This window comes from Homo sapiens, chromosome 10 (assembly GCF_000001405.40).
Source record: "Homo sapiens chromosome 10, GRCh38.p14 Primary Assembly".
NCBI lineage: Eukaryota > Metazoa > Chordata > Mammalia > Primates > Hominidae > Homo > Homo sapiens.
The window spans coordinates 103,425,948-103,446,425 of NC_000010.11; the positions used below are offsets into that span (position 1 = coordinate 103,425,948).

At 47.8% G+C, this 20,478-nt stretch overlaps 1 protein-coding gene across 5 annotated transcripts in view; it reads left to right on the top strand.

Annotated features, from left to right (window-relative positions):
• Window positions 1–20,347, top strand: part of PDCD11 (programmed cell death 11) — a 49,669-nt gene extending 29,322 nt beyond the window's left edge. For 3 of the 5 annotated variants that reach the window (NM_001437421.1, NM_001411058.1, XM_011539540.2), the window contains 16 exons: window positions 1,382–1,444; window positions 6,182–6,287; window positions 8,001–8,090; window positions 8,301–8,403; window positions 8,851–9,028; window positions 12,068–12,124; window positions 12,739–12,861; window positions 13,799–13,921; window positions 14,343–14,634; window positions 14,787–14,903; window positions 15,879–16,028; window positions 16,263–16,513; window positions 17,218–17,386; window positions 17,968–18,121; window positions 18,570–18,735; window positions 19,431–20,347. In NM_001437421.1, coding sequence (NP_001424350.1) covers window positions 1,382–1,444; window positions 6,182–6,287; window positions 8,001–8,090; window positions 8,301–8,403; window positions 8,851–9,028; window positions 12,068–12,124; window positions 12,739–12,861; window positions 13,799–13,921; window positions 14,343–14,634; window positions 14,787–14,903; window positions 15,879–16,028; window positions 16,263–16,513; window positions 17,218–17,386; window positions 17,968–18,121; window positions 18,570–18,735; window positions 19,431–19,602 — 2,314 coding nt within the window. In that variant the 3' untranslated portion in view covers window positions 19,603–20,347. The remainder of the gene's footprint in view (window positions 1–1,381; window positions 1,445–6,181; window positions 6,288–8,000; window positions 8,091–8,300; window positions 8,404–8,850; window positions 9,029–12,067; window positions 12,125–12,738; window positions 12,862–13,798; window positions 13,922–14,342; window positions 14,635–14,786; window positions 14,904–15,878; window positions 16,029–16,262; window positions 16,514–17,217; window positions 17,387–17,967; window positions 18,122–18,569; window positions 18,736–19,430) is intronic. The other 2 variants (NM_014976.2, NM_001437420.1) reach the window with 1 other exon arrangement.
• The last annotated feature ends 131 nt before the right edge of the window (window positions 20,348–20,478 follow it).

Below are 20,478 nucleotides of genomic sequence, written 5' to 3' on the forward strand. Positions count from 1 at the left end.
GGATTACAGTGCATTATTCTTTTTAAAAATATGGAATATATGGTGTGGTTGTTAAGAACATGGGTTTGGAGTCAGACCCGGGTTTGAATTCTAGATTAACTGTGACCATGTGGCAGTAGCTACTTAAGTCCAAATTTTATTTTCTTAATTTGTAACGTGAGAGTCATGGTAGCGACTACTTTGTAGGGCCATGGTGAAGACTGAAAGAGAGAACGTGTAGTCTGTTCTTTGCCTAGTGGGTTGCTGGCCTCAGTTACTGCGCTGTATACATCTGCAGTTGTCATTCTCCACCTCCCACTTTAATTATCCTCATTTACTTTAAATCTAGTGCCACATGTTACTGTAGCAGAAATTCTTGCTATAACAAGAACAGCAAAAAAAGAATTCAAAGTCTGGCCAATAATTTGCATATTAATTTCAGTAGCTAACTGTGGGGTCTTCAGTAAGTCAATTATCCTCTAAATAAAGACCTCAGTTTCCTTATTTTTAGAATGAAAGAATTGGAGTATATAGACTGTAAGGAAAATTGTTTTCAGGATCTGATATGACAATCCTAAAAGATCAGGCCAGGCACGGTGGCTCACGCCTGTAATTCCAGCACTTTTGGGAGGCTGAGGTGGGTGGATCACCTGAGATCAGGAGTTCAAGACTAGCCTGGCCAACATGGTGAAACCCCGTCTACTGAAAAAACAAAAATTAGCCGGGCACAGTGCCTGTAGTCCCAGCTACTCGGGAAGCTGAGGCAGGAGAATCACTTGAACTCAGGAGGCAGAGGTTGCAGTGAGCTGAGATTGTGCCATTGCACTCTAGCCTGGGCAAGAGAGTGAGACTCCGTTTCAAAAAAAAAAAAAAAATCAGGTGAGGCTGGGTGTAGTGGCTGAACCCTGTAATCCCAGCACTTTGGGACGATGAGGGAGGTGGAAAACCTGAGCCCAGGAGTTCAAGACCTGCCTGGGCAACATGGTGAGACCCCATCTCTACAAAAAAAAAAATAAATAAATAAAAATAAAAATTAGCTGGGCATGGTGGCATACACCTATAGTCCCAGCTACTTGGGAGGCTGAGCTGGGAGGATTGCTTGAGCCCAGGAGATTGAGGCTACAGTGAGCCATGATTGCGCCACTGCATTCCAGCTTGGGTGACAGAGTGAGACCTTGTCCCAGAAAAAAAAAAAATTCAGATGAGCCTGCTCCTTACTAATAACTGCAAAGGTTGGGAATGGAAACCTTCAGCCTGACACATCTGTCTTCAGTGGTGGTGTGACAGTGGAACAGGGTGCTTTTGTGAGCTTGGTTTGGTGGAGAGTAGGGAGAAATCCTGACCTACAGATTACTGTGTTACAGAGATGAAGAGAAATGATTCAGCTTATTTGTTTCTCCAGGTATCTCCCAATAAGTCACCCCAGATTCGTTCGAACCATCCCGGAGCTGAGTGTTCGGCCAAGGTGAGGGGGACATTAGCAGCACTGTCTTACGGAAAGAGCACTGGGCTTTGGAATTAGGAATCCCGAATTCGAATCTTGATTTTACCAGTGTTAGGATTGATTTTTGCCTTTCTCTGTCCAAGTTTTCTTGTTTCTCTAGTGGGGATATTTGGTTCTCCTAGGGCTGGAGGGATCATATGAAAATTAATGCAAAAGCTGTGTACAGGTTTTAAGTATCAATTTAAAGCCTGGTTTCAGTTCTGTTTGTCAGCATGTCACAAAAAGAAACATTTTTGCTCTCAACCCAATTTTCTATAACTCAGTAATTCCCTAAATAAGCAACATGTATCCAAGAATACCTGTTATTTCAACCTAGACGACTGTGTGGTGGGCTGGAGGCTGAATAGGAATTTCAGGTCATGGTGGGGTAGATTCTGAAGAGAAGGGTGTTCCATGAGATACTCTGTGGGGAGGAGAACGAGGAGTTCTCTAAAAGAACCCAGCCTCTCAGATTGATAGACCCTTAGTGAATGAAGCTAGGTGTGTATGACCTTAATTAAGAAAGGCTCTGTGGCTCAGTCCTGGGATCCAGCCAGGTTGTAAATCTTAATGCACCTAGAGATTTACAGAACGGTCTCCAAAGTAACTTCCAGAGCCAGGCACAGTGGCTCACGCCTGTAATCCCAGCACTTTTGGAGGCTGAGGCAGATGAATCACTTCAGGTCAGGAGTTCCAGACTAGCCTGACCAACATGGCGAAACCCCATCTCTACTAAAAATACAAAATTAGCCGGGTGTGGTGGCGGGCGCTTGTAATCCGAGCTACTTGGAAGGCTGAGGCAGGAGAATTGCTTAAATTTGGGAGACGGAGGTTGGAGTAAGTCAAAATCTCGCCATTGTGCTTCAGCCTGGGCAACAAGAGCGAAAGCCGTCTCAAAAGAAAAAAAAAAAACACAAAGTAAATATTCCTGGCACATTGAGTTTCAGATGCTAATAACACTTTTGGAACTTCAAAGTAAGCCCTAAACTAAAATTTCAGAATAATAAGATTTGGGGGATGAATTACATTCCTATTTGTTAACTGTGGTTTCTTAGTTTTGTAGATTTTGATTGTATTTATCCTCCAGTCTTTGTTGGAAAAATGAAGAAACCTCTTCATATTAATGGTTTCAGCCTGCAGTATCTTCAACTCTGACATGTGATGTCTTGTTTTAATTAAACCCTTAATTAGGGTTGAGGTTAAGTAGTTTATTCAAACTAAGGGTAGATATCTTAATTTAACAGATATATGGGGGATGAGTCAGTGAACTCTGTGGGAACACTGAGATCCTAAATGGTTTTTGATCCTAGGAGTACTGAGGAACCCCTCATTAACACTGCTGGTGTTGGAAGACTATGGTATGAGCCAGAGTGGGGGTACTTGGCTGTAGCAGAGTGGGCCATGACAGGAATTGAGTGGATTTGTTAAGGAGGTGGGAGATGTAGAGTTATAATAACAGATAGACAGATGGCCAGACACACTCCCAGACAGATGGCCAGACATCTTCCACTTCCTCCATGGACCTTTGTTGTACTGTGACTTGTTTTAATCTCAAGGCTCTTGAGAAACATAGTGATATTTCTCATGCTTATGTTTTAAAATAAATATTTTGAAGTCAGGATGAAAAACATTTAACTGACAGTTTTGACTTAACGGAGGAATTATAGCTGTATTTTTATTCCTCATTTCGTATGGGGATCTCGTTCACAAAGAGAATGCTGTCTGTTCTAGAGCTGAGTTCAGAGGTGTTGAGGGGCACTCAAGGTTAAGATTCATCTTACCTGCTTACTCCTCTGGAGGGCTGAGAGGAAAGAGACAAGGCCATTCAGGAGTCTTAAACGGTGTCTCTGGCATTCCTGTTAGCCAGTGAGTTTTCTCATAGGTCCCCATTCAGTACTGCCAACCCTTCTTTTTTGGAGGGTTGCTCTTTTTGGAGAGGAAGTTTCAAATCACTTCAGGAAAAGAACAAAGGATAACACATATCCGTTTATGTGGTGGGTTTGGTTTGGTTTGGTTTGGTTGAAATAACAGAAATTTCTTTTCTCACAATTTTGGAGGCTAGAAGTCTGAGATCAAGGTGTTGACAGGTTTTGTTTCTTCTAAGGCCTCTCTCCCTGGCTTACAGATGGCCATCTTCTCCCCATGTCTTCACATGGTCTTCCTTTTATGTGTATCTGTGTCCTCATCACAGATGAGTAATTTTTTACAGTAAAAAATTACTGTAATTTTTAAAATTACTATAACACATACATTTACCCTCAACAATTTTCAGGTATACATTACCTGAAACAACATGCATTGTTAACTAAATGCATGTTATACAGCAAATCTCTAGAAGTTTTTTGTCTTGCGTGACTGAAACTATACCTATGGAACAGCAACTCTGCTTCTCCCTCTCTTCCGCCCCGGCAACCACCATTTCCCCTTCCGTCTCAGTGAATTTGACTGTTCTAGGTACCTCACTCATATAAATGGAACACATACAGTATGCGTCCTTTTGTGACTGGCTTATTTCACTTAGTGTGATGTCTTCAAGGTTTATCCATTTTGCAGCATGTGTCAGAATGTCCTGTCTTTTCTTTTCTTTTTTCTTTTTTTAGAGACAGGGTCTTGCTCTGTCACCCAGGCTGGAGTGCAGTGGCGTGATCATGGCTGACTACAGCCTTGACGTTCTGGGCTCAAGTGATCCCCCTCCCTCAGTCCCCCGAGTAGCTGGGGCTACAGGCACGCACCAACATGCCTAGCTAATTTTTGAATTTTTTTTGTAAAGACTGGGTTTTGCCTTGTTGCCCAGGCTGGTCTCAAACTTCTGAGCTCAGGCAATCTGCCTGCCTCGGCCTCCCAAAGTGCTGAGATTATAGGCATGAGCCACTGTGTCTGGCATATCCAGTCTTTTCAAGGCTGAATAATATTCCATTATAGGTATATGCCACATTTTGTTTATCCACCCATTGGTCAACGGACATTTAGGTTGCTTGTGCCTCTTGGCTATTGTGAATAGTGCTGCATTGAACATGAGTGTGCAAATACCTCTTTGTGATCCTGATTTCAGTTCTTTTGAGTATATACCTATAAGTGGGATCACTGGATCGTATGGTAATTCTATTTTTAATATTTTGAGAAACTTCCATACTGTTTTCCATAATCGCTGTACCATTTTACATTCTCATCAACTGTGCACAAAGGTTTCTATTTCTCTACATCCTCGCCAACACTCGTTATTTTCTTTTTTTTTTTTTTTTAATAGTGGCCATCCTGCCGGGGTAAGGTGATATCTCATTGTGCCTTTAATTTGCTTTTTGTGATAATTGGTGATGTTGAGCATCTTTTCATTTGCTTCTTGGCCATTGGTATATCTTCTTTGGAGAAATGTCTACTCAAGTCCTTTTGCTCTCTTTTTTTTTTTTAAATGGAGTTTCGCTCTTATTGCCCAGGCTAGAGTGCAATGGCACAATCTCAGCTCACTGCAACCTCTACCTCCTGGGTTGAAGTGATTCTCCTGCCTCAGCCTCCCGAATAGCTGGGATTACAAGCGCCCACGACCACGCCCAGCTAATTTTTTGTATTTTTAGTAGAGACGGGGTTTCATCATGTTGGCCAGGCTGTTCTCAAACTCCTGACCTTAGGTGATCCACCCGCCTTGGCCTCCCAAAGTGCTGGGGCAATTCTTACTTTACTAGATAGGAAAGTTCCCATTTTCTACATTTGGGAGCACTTGCTATTGTATTTTACAAATTTACTAACATTACTTGTACCAGTTTGGTTCATTTGGGCTTAGAAATTATTTGAATTGGTAAGTAGGGGTGGCAGTTTTGTGATTCCTTTGAGGTGATTGTGGACTGATAACTTTCAGGCTACATCCCTTTGTGGTTTTTCTGAGAAGAAAAAAGAAAATCAAAGGCTGAGTGCCGTGGCTGACATCCATAATCTCAGCACTCTGGGAGGCCAAGGCCAGTGGATCACTTGAGGTCAGGAGTTCGAGACCAGCCTGGCCAACATGGTGAAACCTTGTCTCTACTAAAAATACAAAGAAATTAGCTGGGTGTGGTGGCGGGTGCCTGTAATCTCAGTTTTTGGGAGGCTGAGACATGAGAATCACTTGAACCTGGGGGGTGGAAGTTGCAGTGACCCGAGATTGTGCCACTGCACTCCAGCCTGGGTGACAAAGCAAGACTCTGTCTCAAAAAAAAGAAAAAAAAATTACTTGAATAAATGAATGCTCATTTTATTAAAAAAAAAAATCAAGAAAATGCTAATGGAAGGGTAGCATAGGGCAGAGAGCCCTGGATTTTGAGTCAGAAGCCCTGATTTTAACTCCTGGTTCAGTAGCATAAAATGGGCTTAATATCTCCCCTGCTGAACTCACACAGTTGTCAAATTCAGTGAGAGATAATTTTTGAATGCAGTTTTGCAAAGTAAAGCAACAGCCAAAGTATTATGAAAGAAGTAAAACAATTTTGTTTCCTGAGTTTATAAAGCCTATTGTGGGCTACCTGCTTTAAAAGCAGCTTGTTCATAAGTAGATGAATGAAACGGAAAAGATTAGCCTCGGGCCAGTATTGTGGACATTCCCCTTTGAGGAGAGAAACGGCCTTGGAGGGTGAGTATGAGTAGGGGAGTCCCGTACAGTCAATCCGTGGCCACTTGGGAGAGATGGTTTCAAACTGGAAGTCTTATCCAGAGATGGGTTTACTGTTTACATTTCCTTTCTGCAAACAGTGAGCTGGAGGATGGCCACACTGCTCTTAACACTCACTCTGTTAGCCCCATGGAGAAGATTAAACAGTACCAGGCCGGCCAGACTGTTACTTGCTTCTTAAAGAAAGTAAGTAGTTTTGCCACTCGGCAATGAGATGTCATTCTTCTTTCAGAAAAAAGGTCATGACGTTGGAGAGAAAAGCCATTAGCAGAGAAAGGCATTTGAGTCTGTGCTACCATGCTGGGTTTGTGGGAGACAGTACGTGGCCTCTGCCACTAGAGAACTTCTGGTCTAATTAGGGAGCTAAAATATGGCTTACACACAATTAGCAAGCAGCTCGTAATTCATTGTTGGTAGGTTAATTGTAGAAATGGAAAGTAAAATACATGGCAAGATTTAGAATATAAATGTATATAATTTGGATTTTAGATTCATGCTTTTCATGAAGTTCAGGTGCACTGTAAAACAACATGAAATTGGGTGCCAGATTATGTGTTCCAACCCCAACTGGAACAGGAGTTCAAAAAGGAAGGAAAGCAGCCTGTACTGGTTGAAACATGTAGGAGAGGCGGCTGGATTGGGTTTGACCTTGAAGAATAATACCTCTCCATTGTTGCCAGATTCCTCTTCGATGAGCATCTTTGAGCATGATCGTCTCTGATGCTTGATCCCTTCAGTTACCTATTGTCTATAGACATTCATACACCCCAGATGCCTTAGCGTGGCAGATAAGGCTCTTCATAATCTGACCTTCCGTGCACCTTGTGTGGCAGTCATTCTGAAAAGCTTTTCTGTCTTTTTCCCTTCCTGTCTTTATTCATGCTGGTTTCTACATCTGGAGTACCTTCTATTCCAATTGCCTACTGCCCATCAAGGTTCAGCACAGATAACCTTCCCTCGTTACTAGTTCCTGTAGCATGTTGTACTTCCTACATGTTGCTTGCTGTTGTAGTTATTTGCACACTGATTTGACTTACTGCTTGTAGGCTGTAATCTCCTTGAAGGCAGGCTCTGGCTTTTATTTATCATTATGATGCCATGTGCATAGTAGCTGCTCGATAAATGATTTGTTAAGTTGACTAGAAAATTGGAGTATGTATTTACGGCCAGGTGTGGTGGTTCACGCCTGTAATCCCAGCACTTTGGGAGGCCGAGGTGGGCAGATCACTTCAGGTCAGGAGTTTGAGACCAGCCTGGCCAACATGGTGAAACCCCATCTCTACTAAAAATACAAAAATTTAGCCGGGCCTGGGGCGTGCGCGCCTGTAATCCCAGCTACCCTGGAGGCTGAGGCAGGAGAATCACTGGAACCCAGGAGGTGGAGATTGCAGTGAGCCGAGATTGCCGCCACACACTCCAGCCTAGGAGACAGAGCGAGACTCTGTCTCAAAAAAAAAGGAGAAAATTGGAGTGCATATTTAGGGCAAGACACTGCATAAACAGTGAAGGATCCAAATCCAAATTGGTTTAGAAATTAAAAATTGGCCTCTGGAGATGGTTAACAATCGCTGGGCACAGCTGAGCTTGGAGGAGGCTACAGAGGTCTGTGGGATTGGTTCTCCAGTTTGAGGACATCTCTGGAGTCTCTTTTGCCTCCTGGTCAGCTGAGACCCTGGAAGAGATGCACATTCTGCTAGGCTAGCAAAGGTTCTGAGCTGGAGTCTGAGGGAAGCTGGTGAGAAGTGGAGGTTGGGCAAGGGCAGTGGGATGGAAGGGTGGATTCCTGTCTCTTGGAAAAGTGTACTGGGGCCCTTTCCACCTTGTGGTTTTAGGAAAGTTTTAATGGCGGGAAACCTTGTATTTGTATTTGCCCTACTCTGGTTCCTTTTTTTCCCTCAGTACAATGTGGTGAAGAAATGGCTTGAGGTGGAGATTGCCCCAGACATCCGGGGGAGAATTCCCTTATTGCTCACTTCTCTGAGCTTCAAGGTCAGTGTGCTTGAGATCCCTGGAGAGGGGACCCAAGTTCCCTAAGCTTGGCCCAGTGCCTGGTGTGTGGGTTTACAGTGGATTTGAGGAAGCTTGTTCTTTATTTAAGGGTTGCTTTGGGAGATACTTGCTTTGGAGACTTAAATGCTGTGGTTTTGGATAAATGACAGCCTTTCTTCAAGCATCACAGGAGTTTTTTTATCCTTCCAGGTTCTGAAGCATCCAGATAAGAAGTTCCGGGTTGGCCAGGCCCTGAGGGCCACCGTTGTTGGCCCAGATTCCTCCAAGACCCTCTTATGTCTGTCCCTCACAGGTGTGGGGATGAAACAGTGCCTGGTCGGGGAAGGGGAGCGGCAGGAAGGGGTGGGATGGGTTTTCAGCTATTGCTTGAGTTGGAGGACCCCTTCGGTATTGGAATCCTCAGAAAGCCTGGTGTGGGACCTTCTTGGAACAGTTTTTCTCTTGGGCTTTGCTCTGGCCCAGTTACTCCACTGCTCTCTGAGTTACCTTTACCTATACAGGTTACCCTTACCTACACAGGTGTTTTTCTCAAGTCCCTGGGAAAGAGTTGTCCACCACTTGGCCCTGAGGTCCTTGGCTACATGGCAGGGTGATCTCAGTCTAGATGGTTCTGGATCACTCAGCCCAGATACCCCAAGTCTGGGCAGCCTCCACCTTCCCCAGCCTGTGTGTGGCTGGCATTCCCGCTCCTCCCTTAGCTCATTTCCTCTTCCCTGAATCAGGTTGGTTCTTCCACCAGGTCCTCACAAGCTTGAGGAAGGGGAAGTGGCCATGGGCCGAGTGGTGAAGGTGACTCCCAACGAGGGGCTGACCGTCTCCTTCCCCTTTGGGAAGATAGGAACAGTCAGTATATTTCACATGAGTGACTCCTACTCCGAGACGCCCCTGGAAGACTTCGTCCCCCAGAAGGTTGTCAGGTAAGCGAAGTGTTCTTCCTCTTTTCACCTGTCTGTGGAATTGGTATATTTAAAAAAAAACGTTGTTGTAATACATGACTTTTTATCAGAAAAACAGGTATATGAAATAGAAAATGAAAATTTCTGTAACCCCTCTGTTTCTCTACCACTTTTTGCCATTATGTACTTTGATTTCTATCTTTCTAGACTTTAATGCATATATATATAGTTTTTCTTTATATAAATAATAGAATATCATTTGATATACTGTTTTTTTCTCATAGTTTATCATGAATTTTTTTCCTTTTCTATGCTAATATATCAAAATCTATTTTGTCCTTTTACCTTATTTTAAAACGTTTGTTTAGTATTCTGGGGTTTTTTTAATTGAAATTTGTGTAACCAATTCTCTGTTGATAGACAATACTTTTTTTGATAGACAATAATGTTGAAGTATCTTTGTACATATATTTGGGTTTTTTGTTTTTTTTTAATTGAGACAGAGTCTGGCTGGAGTGCAGTGGCGTGAGACAGAGTCTGGAGTGCAGTGGCGCGAGACACAGCCTTTTTTTAACTGAGGCAGTCTGGCTGGAGTGCAGTGCGTAGGCTGGAGTGCAGTGGCGCGATCTCAGCTCACTGCAGTCTCCTCCCAAGTTCAAGCAATTCTCCTGCCTCAGCCTCCCAAGTAGCTAGGATTATAGGCATGCGCCATGACGCCTGGCTAATTTTTGTACTTTTAGTAGAGACTAGGTTTCGCCATGTCGGTCAGGTTGGTCTCGAACTCCTGACCTCAGGTGATCTGCCCATCCTGGCCTCCCAAAGTGGTGGGATTACAGGCATGAGCCACGGTGCCTGGCCCTTTTGCATATATTTGGATACTAATGCAGGTATGTTTGGTAAATAAATTCCTAGAAGTGAAATTGATGGGTTACATACCCTCCAAAATGACTGTGCTAATTTATGTCCCCATTAACAGTAAATATGACTGTCCATTTCTCACACCACTATTGGCACTGGATATTTTAAATTTGTGTCTTAGCCATTGGTTCAGCAAAAATTGGTCTCTTGTTTTTTTCTTTTTTTTTTTTTTTGAGATAGAGTCTCGCTCTGTTGCCCAGGCTGGAGTGCAGTGGCACAATCTTGGCTCTTGTTTTGTTTTGTTTTGAGACAGAGTCTTGCTCTGTCACCCAGGCTGGAGTGCAGTGGCGCAATCTTGGCTCACTGCAACCTCTGCCTCCTGGGTTCAAGCGATTCTTGTGCCTCAGCCACCCAAGTACCTGGGATTACAGGCGTTGTGTCACCATGCCTGGCTAATTTTTCTGTTTTTAGTAGAGACAGGGTTTCACCATGTTGGCCAGGCTGGTCTCAAGCTCCTGGGCTTAAGTGATCTGCCTGCCTTGGCCTCTCAAAGTGAGCCTCCGCACCCAGCCAATTGGAGTTTTAAGACTGTTTTAATAGCCTGAATAAACTAAACTTGAGGAGACAGATTTCAGCTGCATCCAGTAGTCAACTGACAGTACAGTAGATGCCCTTGGAGGCAGAGACTGGAAAATAGTAACTGCCCTCTCCTGTCTCAGCTGTCCCAGCCACCAGCACCTACCTGCCTAAATTCTCAACCACTCACAACCACTGCACGGCACACACATGCCCAGGGCCTGGGAGAAGACAAAGAATGAGTCCTAGAGACAGCCAGGATCATCTCTGGTTTCTCTTGAGGCTTAGATAATGAGGTTGTGGTTTTAAATGTGTTTTATTGTGGCCAAACCTACGATAAATTACTTGCCTAAAGGTAGACGGTCCCTTGAGGTTCTGTCCAGCTCTGATGGCTATGATGCCACGTTACCAAAGGCAGACATCTGTCGTGGGAAAATTTTGGACTGGATTTTTGCTGAGATCCTTTCTACCTCTAAGAATCTGTATATTATGGTTTTGGACTACTAATTGCCATTTTAGATGAAATGTTTAGAGATGCAACCCTGCTGTCCCTCCTGGAAGCGCTGACCCGCCTCCTCTGAACTGCTCTTGTGTGTCTGCAGTAGTACCTAGCTGATGCCTTGGGCATGATCTCCTGGGGTTAGTGTGTCTCTCTGCTGAGATCAAACGTTCTCAGGATCTAACACAGAGCTGGTTCTTCTTTTAAGGACATACTGTATGCCTCTGTGAGACTTCCTTTTCTTCTTCCCTCTCTCCCTCCCCTTTCTTTCTTTCTCAGGGTCTTACTTAGTTGCCCAGGCTAGAGGGCAGTGGTGTGATCGTAGCTCACTGCAACCTCAAATTCTTGGGCTCAAACAATCCTCTGTCCTCAGCCTCCCAAGTGGCTGGGACTACAGGTGTGTGCCACCACACCTGGCTTTTTAAAAAAGTTTTTTTATAGAGACAGGGTCTCGCTTTGCTGCCCAGACTGGTCTTGAGCTCCTGGCTTCTAGCAGTTCTCCTGCCTCGGCCTCCCAAAGTGTTGAGATTACAGATGTGAGCCACTACACCTGGCCCCAACACCCTTGTTAGGTAAGAAGAGTAGGTAGTGTTATTTATTTATTTATTTATTTATTTTGAGATGGAGTCTTGCTCTGTCGCCCAGGCTGGAGTGCAGTGGCACGATCTCGGCTCACTGCAACCTCTGCCTCCTGGGTTCACGCCATTCTCCTGCCTCAACCTCCCCAGTAGTTGGGACTACAGGCGCCCGCCACCACGCCCGGCTATTTTTTTTGTATTTTTAGTAGAGATGGGGTTTCACCGTGTTAGCCAGGATGGTCTCAATCTCCTGACCTTGTGATCCGCCTACCTCAGCCTCCCAAAGTGCTGGGATTACAGGCGTGAGCCACCGTGCCCAGCCCGGTAGTGTTATTTCTATTTAATAGACTAGTAAACTGAAGCCCACAGAGGTGACGTGACTTGTCCAGAGTCCCTCAGCAGGTTTTCAACAGAATGAAGAAACATGACCAGAGTCTCCTGTCTCCTCACTCCTGCCTATTCGTCAGCCTGGAGGAGAGGAAGCTGAGACCCTTTGCTGTTCACAGATGCTGAAAATTGAGCGTTTCCTTCTCTTTTGCCTTCATTCAGATGTTACATCCTGTCCACTGCAGACAACGTATTGACTTTGTCGCTGCGATCATCCAGGTGGGTTTCTGTGTTGTTGGAAAAAGAAAGGAGGAAGACCCACTCAGGATCAAGGGGAGGCTACGTGTATCTGACACAGAATTTTGGGCTTCCCACCTTCTCTGCTCATCACTTTTTATCCTGAACCTCTTTTACCCAGAAAAGCTGAGGCTGTTCAGATTGCTGCAAGAATCCTGTCTGCTCAGGCTCTTGTTTTCCATGGAAAGGGTCAGATATCCAGATGTGGGTGTCCAAGGTTGCAGATGGTAGTCCTGGTGAGGGGAGATGCTTTAGCCTCCAGGGTTCCATTGTAGGGGTGAGCGTGCCATGTATGGAGTTGGCTTGAGGTCAGCTTGCTGTATGGTTAGACATCAATGTTAATGAGGCCAAGGCTTTAGGTTTGACCTCTCTGGCTTGGTCCGCCTCTCCCCATTTCTACATAGCTGGGCCCCAGGCACCTGCTTCTGGCCTGGCAAGATGTTAGGAGAGAGTAGAGTTGGGCTCTAAAGGTTATATCCTGCTGACAGGTCCAGAGTCATATTCTTATTTACTAAGTATGATGGTTGCAGGTGTATTGGGGGTGGCATGGGACAGTGGAGGTTAAAGGTGTGCATGTAAGCCTTTTATTCCTTTAGAACAAACCCGGAGACGAAAAGCAAAGTAGAAGATCCAGAGATTAACTCCATCCAGGACATTAAGGAAGGGCAGCTTCTGAGGGGCTATGTAGGGTCCATCCAGCCACACGGTGTGTTCTTTCGGTGAGTGAGGGGGGCTCTGCACCCGGACCCAAGTGCCTTCCCTGAGCCTGTGTTGCTCTGGGGTCCACTGTGTTCCTCGGTCAACTTCTTTGATGGGAATATGAAGGGAGGAGAGTTTATGAGTCCCCACTCATTTTTAAAATTCCAAGTTTTCTAATACTTTTAAAACAACTGTTGAGTTATTAGTTATTTGGTGTTTTGGACAAAGAATATGGCATTTCTAATTTCTGTTCTAAGTAAGTCTGGGGCCGGGCGTGGTGGCTCATGCCTGGAATCCTAGCGCTTTGAGAGGCCGAGATGAGAGAATTGCTTTGAAGGCCAGGAGTTCAAGACCAGCCTGGGCAACAAAGCAAGACCCCCATGTCTCCAGAAAAAAATTAAAAATTAACCAGGTGTGGTAGCATGAGCCTGTAGTCCCAGCTATTTGGAAGGCTGAGGCGGGAGGATTGCTTGAGCCCATAAGTTCGAGGTTACATTAAGCTATGATTGTGCCTCTGACCTCCAGCCTGGGAGGCAGTGATACCCTGTGTCTAAAAAAATTAAATTTAAATTAAAAAATACATAAATGTGGATATTCTGTTTTAGTGTTTGATCATGATTTGTAAGTGTTCGTTCTGTGAAATCACCTCATGTTCACAAGCACCTGATACTGCAGCCTTCCCTGCCATGCTGTTTCTGCAGTTTCTCCTAGCAGTTTGTGATTTATATATTATGATACCACAGTGTGGAGTAAAAAATACCCTCAATCATATCTTCATTATGCTTGATGATGATTTCAAGTTTACAAAGCCCACTTCATCCTGCTGAATGCCAGGAACTTATGTCTGTCACAAATCCTTGTCACAACTTGAGTCCCTGTGAGAGTGAAGTCCCGAGGCCTGGTTGGAATTCTGTTGTTGCATTTGTGACCACAGGACTCTTGCCTCTCTCCTTTCAGCCTTGGCCCCTCCGTTGTGGGTTTGGCTCGGTACTCCCATGTCTCCCAGCACAGCCCGTCCAAGAAAGCCCTTTATAACAAACACCTCCCTGAAGGGAAGCTGCTCACAGCCAGGGTCCTACGGTAGGTGCCTTCCCGTTCTCTCTCTCTCTGTAATGTGAATCAAACCCCTTTCTCCAGGAGCCCTGGGAGGAGATTTCAGGGTGAACTGTAAACATAATGGCTTGCGTAGTGGTGTTCAGATGAATAAAAGGCCTTTGTTTGGAACCTTCTCCCCCAGTGCCTGTGAAAACAGGTGGTAACTTATCTCTGCATAGCTCCTGTTGTTGGGGATGGTGGAGGGGGCATCACATCTACCCCCTGTATTTTTCTACTAAGCATGAAAAATTGTGCAAATCATTCTTGAGAATATTGAAAGGACTCCCAAGGCAGATGGGGGCAGGGCCCAGAATCGTGGGCTGATCAGGAGGAAAAAGGCCTGGGCCGCCTGTGGTGCCCTCTGCTTTTTATGATGTCTTTACCTCCCCATCTTGCTCTGTCATAGCCTTAACCACCAGAAGAACCTGGTAGAGCTGTCTTTCCTCCCCGGAGACACTGGGAAGCCAGACGTGCTTTCTGCTTCCTTGGAAGGGCAACTTACAAAGCAAGAGGAGAGGAAAACAGAGGCTGAGGAGAGAGACCAAAAAGGGGAAAAGAAAAATCAGAAAAGGAACGAGAAGAAGAACCAGAAGGGGCAGGAGGAGGTGGAGATGCCCAGCAAGGAGAAGCAACAGCCCCAGAAGCCACAGGCGCAGAAGCGGGGCGGGCGGGAGTGCCGGGAGTCTGGGAGTGAGCAGGTGAGGTCCTGCGGAGGGCTGTGGCTGCCTATCCTCCTCCTGGAGGGACAGCCATGAGGGCGTGGGGACAGGGCACCCAGTGGGGCCGAGGGAGGGTGTCGCCTGGGGCTGCAGGAGGATGCTCCTAGGCATTCTCCCACCTGGCCTCTCAGGAAAGAGTGAGCAAGAAGCCAAAGAAAGCCGGCCTGTCAGAGGAGGACGACAGCCTTGTGGACGTGTACTATCGGGAGGGAAAAGAGGAGGCAGAAGAGACGAATGTGCTGCCCAAGGTGAGGGTGACGTCGCGGGGAGGGGAAGGCTGCTCCAGGCAAGGGAAGAGCTGGGCCATCCTCTGCCTCATCCTCTTTTACTTCATTTCCTATAAAATACGAAAGCAGGGGCTGTCAGTTGCCTCCATTGACCGTCAGCTCCTTGAGGACAAGGGACCCTTTTTACCCAGAGCAGGCTGCATAAAATAAATTCTAAGGAATATTTATTGGGTGGAACTGAATTAAATTAGGAGGCTGGGCAGAGAAAGAGGAGGCTGAGCCGTTCTGAGCCTGCATCCTCCAAAAGATGAGAATAGTAATACCTGGGCTGAGAGGACCGGGTATGGGATGGCTTATAACCATCTGGGCAGGGCCTCCCTGCCACCCTCAGAATTATTGTCATCTCTCTGTCCCAGCTCTACTGTTATTTTTATTTTTATTATTTTGAGACAGAGTCTCGCTTTGTCATCCAGGCTGGAGTGCAGTTGTGTGATCTTGGCTCACTGCAACCTCTGCCTTCCAGGTTCAAGCAATTCTCATGACTCAGCCTCCCGAGTAGCTGAGACTGCCGGTATGCACCACCATGCCTGGCTAATTTTTGTATTAGTAGAGAGGGGGTTTCGCCATGTTGGCCGGGCTGGTCTCGAACTCCTGACTTCAAATGATCGGCCCGCCTCAGCTTCTTAAAGTGTTGGGGTTACAGGTGTGAGCCACCACACCTGGCTTCTACTGTTATTTTATATACTGGTATGCATATGCATGTGTGTGTGTGAAAATTTTGTTATCTAAATAAATGTATTTACAAAGAAAACTTTTATGTCACTGCTATAAAGTTTCCCCAGTGGGCTGGGGCCTGGCATGGCCTAGGAGGAGAGGAGAGGAGAGGAGGGGTCTCTGGGCTTGGTAGGAGTCCATGCTCCTCCAGGTGGGCTGGCACGGGGGAACAGGGAGCAGCCTGAGCCAGGTGCTTTCTTTAGCGCCTCTGTGTTCCTCCAGGAGAAGCAAACCAAGCCAGCAGAAGCGCCCCGGCTGCAGCTGTCTTCAGGCTTCGCTTGGAATGTGGGACTAGACTCTCTGACCCCGGCCTTGCCACCTCTAGCAGAGAGCTCAGACAGCGAGGAGGATGAGAAGCCACACCAAGCCACGGTGCTGTATTTTGCAGGGCATGTCCTTTTTGCAGGGACCCCTTGGTGTCAGTCTCTTGTGCTCTGTTCCTAGACTGGGTGTCTTCCTGGGTGAGTGGGGGAGGGGGCAGCGGCCAGTCCCAGGCCAGGGGGTATATATAGAGCCCTGGGCTGCCCAGCCAACTCGTGACTTCCACCACAGACCTCCCCTAGGCCTTGAGGAGCAGATGACTCACGGTGTTTCTGCTTTCCATAGCAGATAAAGAAAAGCAAGAAAGAAAGGGAGTTGGAGAAGCAGAAGGCAGAGAAGGAACTGTCCCGCATTGAGGAGGCGCTGATGGATCCTGGGCGGCAGCCAGAGTCCGCGGATGATTTTGACCGACTGGTGCTGAGCTCCCCCAACAGCTCCATTCTGTGGCTGCAGTACATGGCTTTCCACCTGCAGGCCACGGAGATCGAGAAGGCCCGTGCCGTGGCTGAGAGGGCCCTTAAGACCATCTCCTTCAGGTCTCAGCTTTGCCCCAGGGAGCACAGTGTCTTCGCACGTTCTGGGCTGGGAAGTTTCTCAACCTGTGGGGTAGCTCCTCCTAGGCAGGCCGGCAGCATTTTGGGTGGCTGCCACCAGGGGCCCATGGGTCCTCAGGCTTTCTGCCATAGCTGCGGCCATCTGTGAAATAGATCTACTCATTTATATTTTATAGTCTTCTTCCCTGAAACTGCTAAGGGTAACCTTCACAAGAGTCCATACACTTATATGAGGGAACCAGTTTGAGCAGAAACACAGTAAGAAAAGAACTCACTACATACCTGGGCGAAATCCCTGTGGTGGTTTTCCAAACAGAGGGAGTTTTTGAGGCCTAATGAAGAGGGAAGGCAGTCCTTTGCTTCATCCTCTTAGCTTGAAGAGAGAATCAGACCCAGGACTCTGCGTCCAGCCCAAACCTCAGGCCCGTTTGGGATCTGGTGGGCATCCTTTCTAGGAATGGAGGCAGAATCCAGGAGAGCCTCAGACTCAGCCATTGGGGTTGGGGCAGGGGTTTCTAATGCTGCAGGAGCTGTGGGGACACAGCCTCTTAGGGTCTACATTTGGGGTGGGATCTGAGGACACAGATAGAGGCTGGGAGGGGGAGGTGGTTCCTGAGTCTGTCTGGATGGGGCGGGAGGCTCACTGGTTTCATGTGGCGCTCATGTGCTGACTGCTCTCCCTCCAGAGAGGAGCAGGAGAAGCTGAACGTGTGGGTGGCTCTGCTGAACCTGGAGAACATGTACGGCTCTCAGGAGTCCCTGACCAAGGTCTTTGAGCGAGCCGTGCAGTACAACGAGCCTCTCAAAGTCTTTCTCCACCTGGCTGACATCTACGCCAAGTCAGAGAAATTCCAGGTAGGAGGTTGGGCCACAGACGAACTCCTGGGAGTTCCAGGGCCACAATCTCAGAGAAGAGCCCCTGGGGTGCTGGGTCCAGTCCTGCTGTGAGCTTGCCACCCAACATCGGGGCCCCAACTTCCCTATCTTCCAAGTAAAAGAAGTCATTTCCCTCACCTCTTCTTCAGGCCTGTGGGGTCAAGGTGAGGGAAGGAGTGGCTTTGGAAGTGAAGGGGCAGTGGACCCCTGGTGTGTCTGCCTTGGGCTGCTGGCAGGGCATCACAGACAGAAGGGGACGTCCCGGCCCAGCATCCGCTCTGGCGTCTCTCCTACTCCCCCTTGTCATTCTCATGTTCTAGGCTAGGACCGCCCTCCCATGGGTGCGGATCAGCAGGGAATCCCCTCCGTCGTGTTGTGCCTGTTCACGGTGCCCTTCTGTGAGCCTCCCTCCCGCTCCTCTCAGGTCTCTAGCATTAGGCCCTGAGAGTGATTTGGTGTCTGGGAGCCCAGGTCTAGCTTCTTGTGAGTGTTGCTGCTTGTCTGTCTTGTCCCCTCTGTAGTATCACACTCTCCTCAGCGTGCCTCGTCTTTTCCCACAGGAAGCTGGTGAACTCTACAACCGGATGCTGAAGCGTTTCCGGCAGGAGAAAGCTGTGTGGATCAAATACGGCGCCTTCCTTCTGCGGAGGAGCCAGGCTGCAGCCAGTCACCGCGTGCTGCAGCGAGCCCTGGAGTGCCTGCCTAGCAAGGAGCGTGAGTGCTCATTCCCAGCTCCTGAGCCCATGAGCACTCCAGGATCGGGGAGTAGGAACTGGCTGTGGCATTGCTTCTTCTAAGTCAGGAGAGCCTTGTGAGGGCTTTCCTCTTGCTGCCTGTTGATTCTCTGCCCCTCAGCATAACAGTGCATGTTAAATTTCAAATGTCAGGCTCCAAAAGATGGAGGAACAAAACGCAGTTAGTACTAGTTCTGTTGCCCCTGGGATCCCCCACCTCTTCTGTGCCCAGAGAGTGGTGTGTCTGCAGTGCCCATCTGTGTATTTGGCCCCAAACCCACCCCTTTTGGGTCTTTGTCCCTCTTGTCACAACCTGAGTCTTGGGACCCAAGAGCAGGGAGTCAGGTGCACGCTGACCCTGCGGAACACTGTGTTGTGGTGAGGGGGCTGTCTGCTTGTTGGGTCTCTGAGCAGTCCTCTCCCTGCAGATGTGGATGTCATTGCCAAGTTTGCCCAGCTTGAGTTTCAGCTGGGGGATGCAGAGCGGGCCAAAGCCATTTTTGAGAACACGCTGAGCACCTACCCAAAGCGCACAGATGTCTGGTCGGTCTATATCGACATGACCATCAAGCACGGCAGCCAGAAGGACGTCCGGTGAGTGGGGCAGCTGGCCAAGGCCGAGTTCCTCAGGAGAGGGCGTGGTAGGCACTGGTCCCACAGCAGCTCTCAGCATCCCAGTTCTCTTACTTGATCTAGAAAACCAGCTAGATGTGATGCCCCAGGCCCAGTGACATTCACTTCAACTCCTCTTTCTGCCTCAAAGGCCAGCATCTGGTCTGTGTCTGAAACCATTGGTAGGAGGTAGCCTTGTCAAGAGACTCGAGTTTCTCTCATAATTAACACTGTTCCTGACTCTCATTGTAGACTACTTTCACAGGCATTCTCTTGCTTTTGACCCCAGCGTCTCCACAAGACAGGGAGGGTTTAGAGATGAGTAGACTGAGGTCCAAAAAGAACAGGTGCCTCACCCAAGCCCTTCACTATGTATGTTTCTCACTGTTGTGTCCCCCATCCCAGTAGCTTTGTCTTGATCACTGTGTGGCTTTAGGCAGGGAAGTCCCTTACCATCTCTGGGTGTCCATCTGCTCATCTGGAAGATGAGGGTGGTAGTGCCTCTCCCCAAGGCATCATGGGAGTTCATCATGGATTAATAAAGATAATGGTAGAAGTGGGAGTCCTGGATGGGAGAGGGTCCTGGTTCCAGGGCTGAGAGCAAGTGGGTGAGTGCTAGGCAGGAAGCACGTGACCTGGGACTGACAGGCAAATGCCACTCTGCTTTTCCTCAACAGGGACATCTTTGAGCGGGTCATTCATCTGAGCTTGGCCCCCAAGAGAATGAAGTTCTTCTTCAAGCGCTACCTGGACTACGAGAAGCAGCATGGCACTGAGAAGGATGTGCAGGCAGTCAAGGCCAAGGCCCTGGAGTATGTGGAGGCCAAGAGCTCAGTGCTAGAGGACTAGTGGCAGGCTGGCTCTGTGGGACACTGTCAACAATGGGCCAGCCCGGCCCCGCCTCGAGTGCCTGGGCACTCGGAAAACTGTTACCTCAGGACTCTATTTAAATGCTGCTTTTTCTGCAGCACGCTTGGGGAAATCCTGTCAGGATGAAAAGGAAGTTGAGATTTTTTAAATCCCTCTTCGCTTGCTTTATTTTCAGTACCAACTTGTTATCTTTTTCCTTATCTGAGGCTACCTGGGGATTGTGGGCAGCAGGCCCCTGGACTCCCAGAAATGCTGAGGGTCCCTCTTCCAGGGGAGTTCCCTGGGGAGCAAGAGTAGAGGGGCTATTCCCGAGGGTCCTGTGGTCAGGGTCCTGCTTTGTCCCTGGCAGGCTGTCAGTCCAGCTGGAGGGGGTCAGTAGGCTCCAGGGAGTGGGCCCTCCCCTCCGATCTTGGAGTCTCTGGGTGTTCCTTCAGCCTCAGCCTCACTGGTACCTTCTGCCCTTTAGGGGAGGCTATGAGTCTGGGACAGGAGGACAAATTCAGAGCCCAGAGGGGGAAATGGAGAAACCTGGGCTGCTGAGGAAAGCCACGGGTGTTGGCGTGAACTGATGATGTCTCATCCCACGCCCACTATGGCCACATTACCTAACCTCTCCATATCTGGGCTATTCAAGGTCTTGGAGGCCAGCACAGACCCAGCTAGTTGTTGAAGCCAGTTCTTTTTTGTCTTGGTCATGAGGGAATTAAACGTTTTCTCTGGCAGAGCTTTAAGTGTCCTGAGAGCTTTTCCATGGGAAATGACTGAGTCATATGCCAGGAAGCCGGACAGGGCCAAGGGAGAGCATCCAAAGGTTCTAGAGGTGGGGCGGGTGGCGGGCAGGGATGGGAGGAAGGA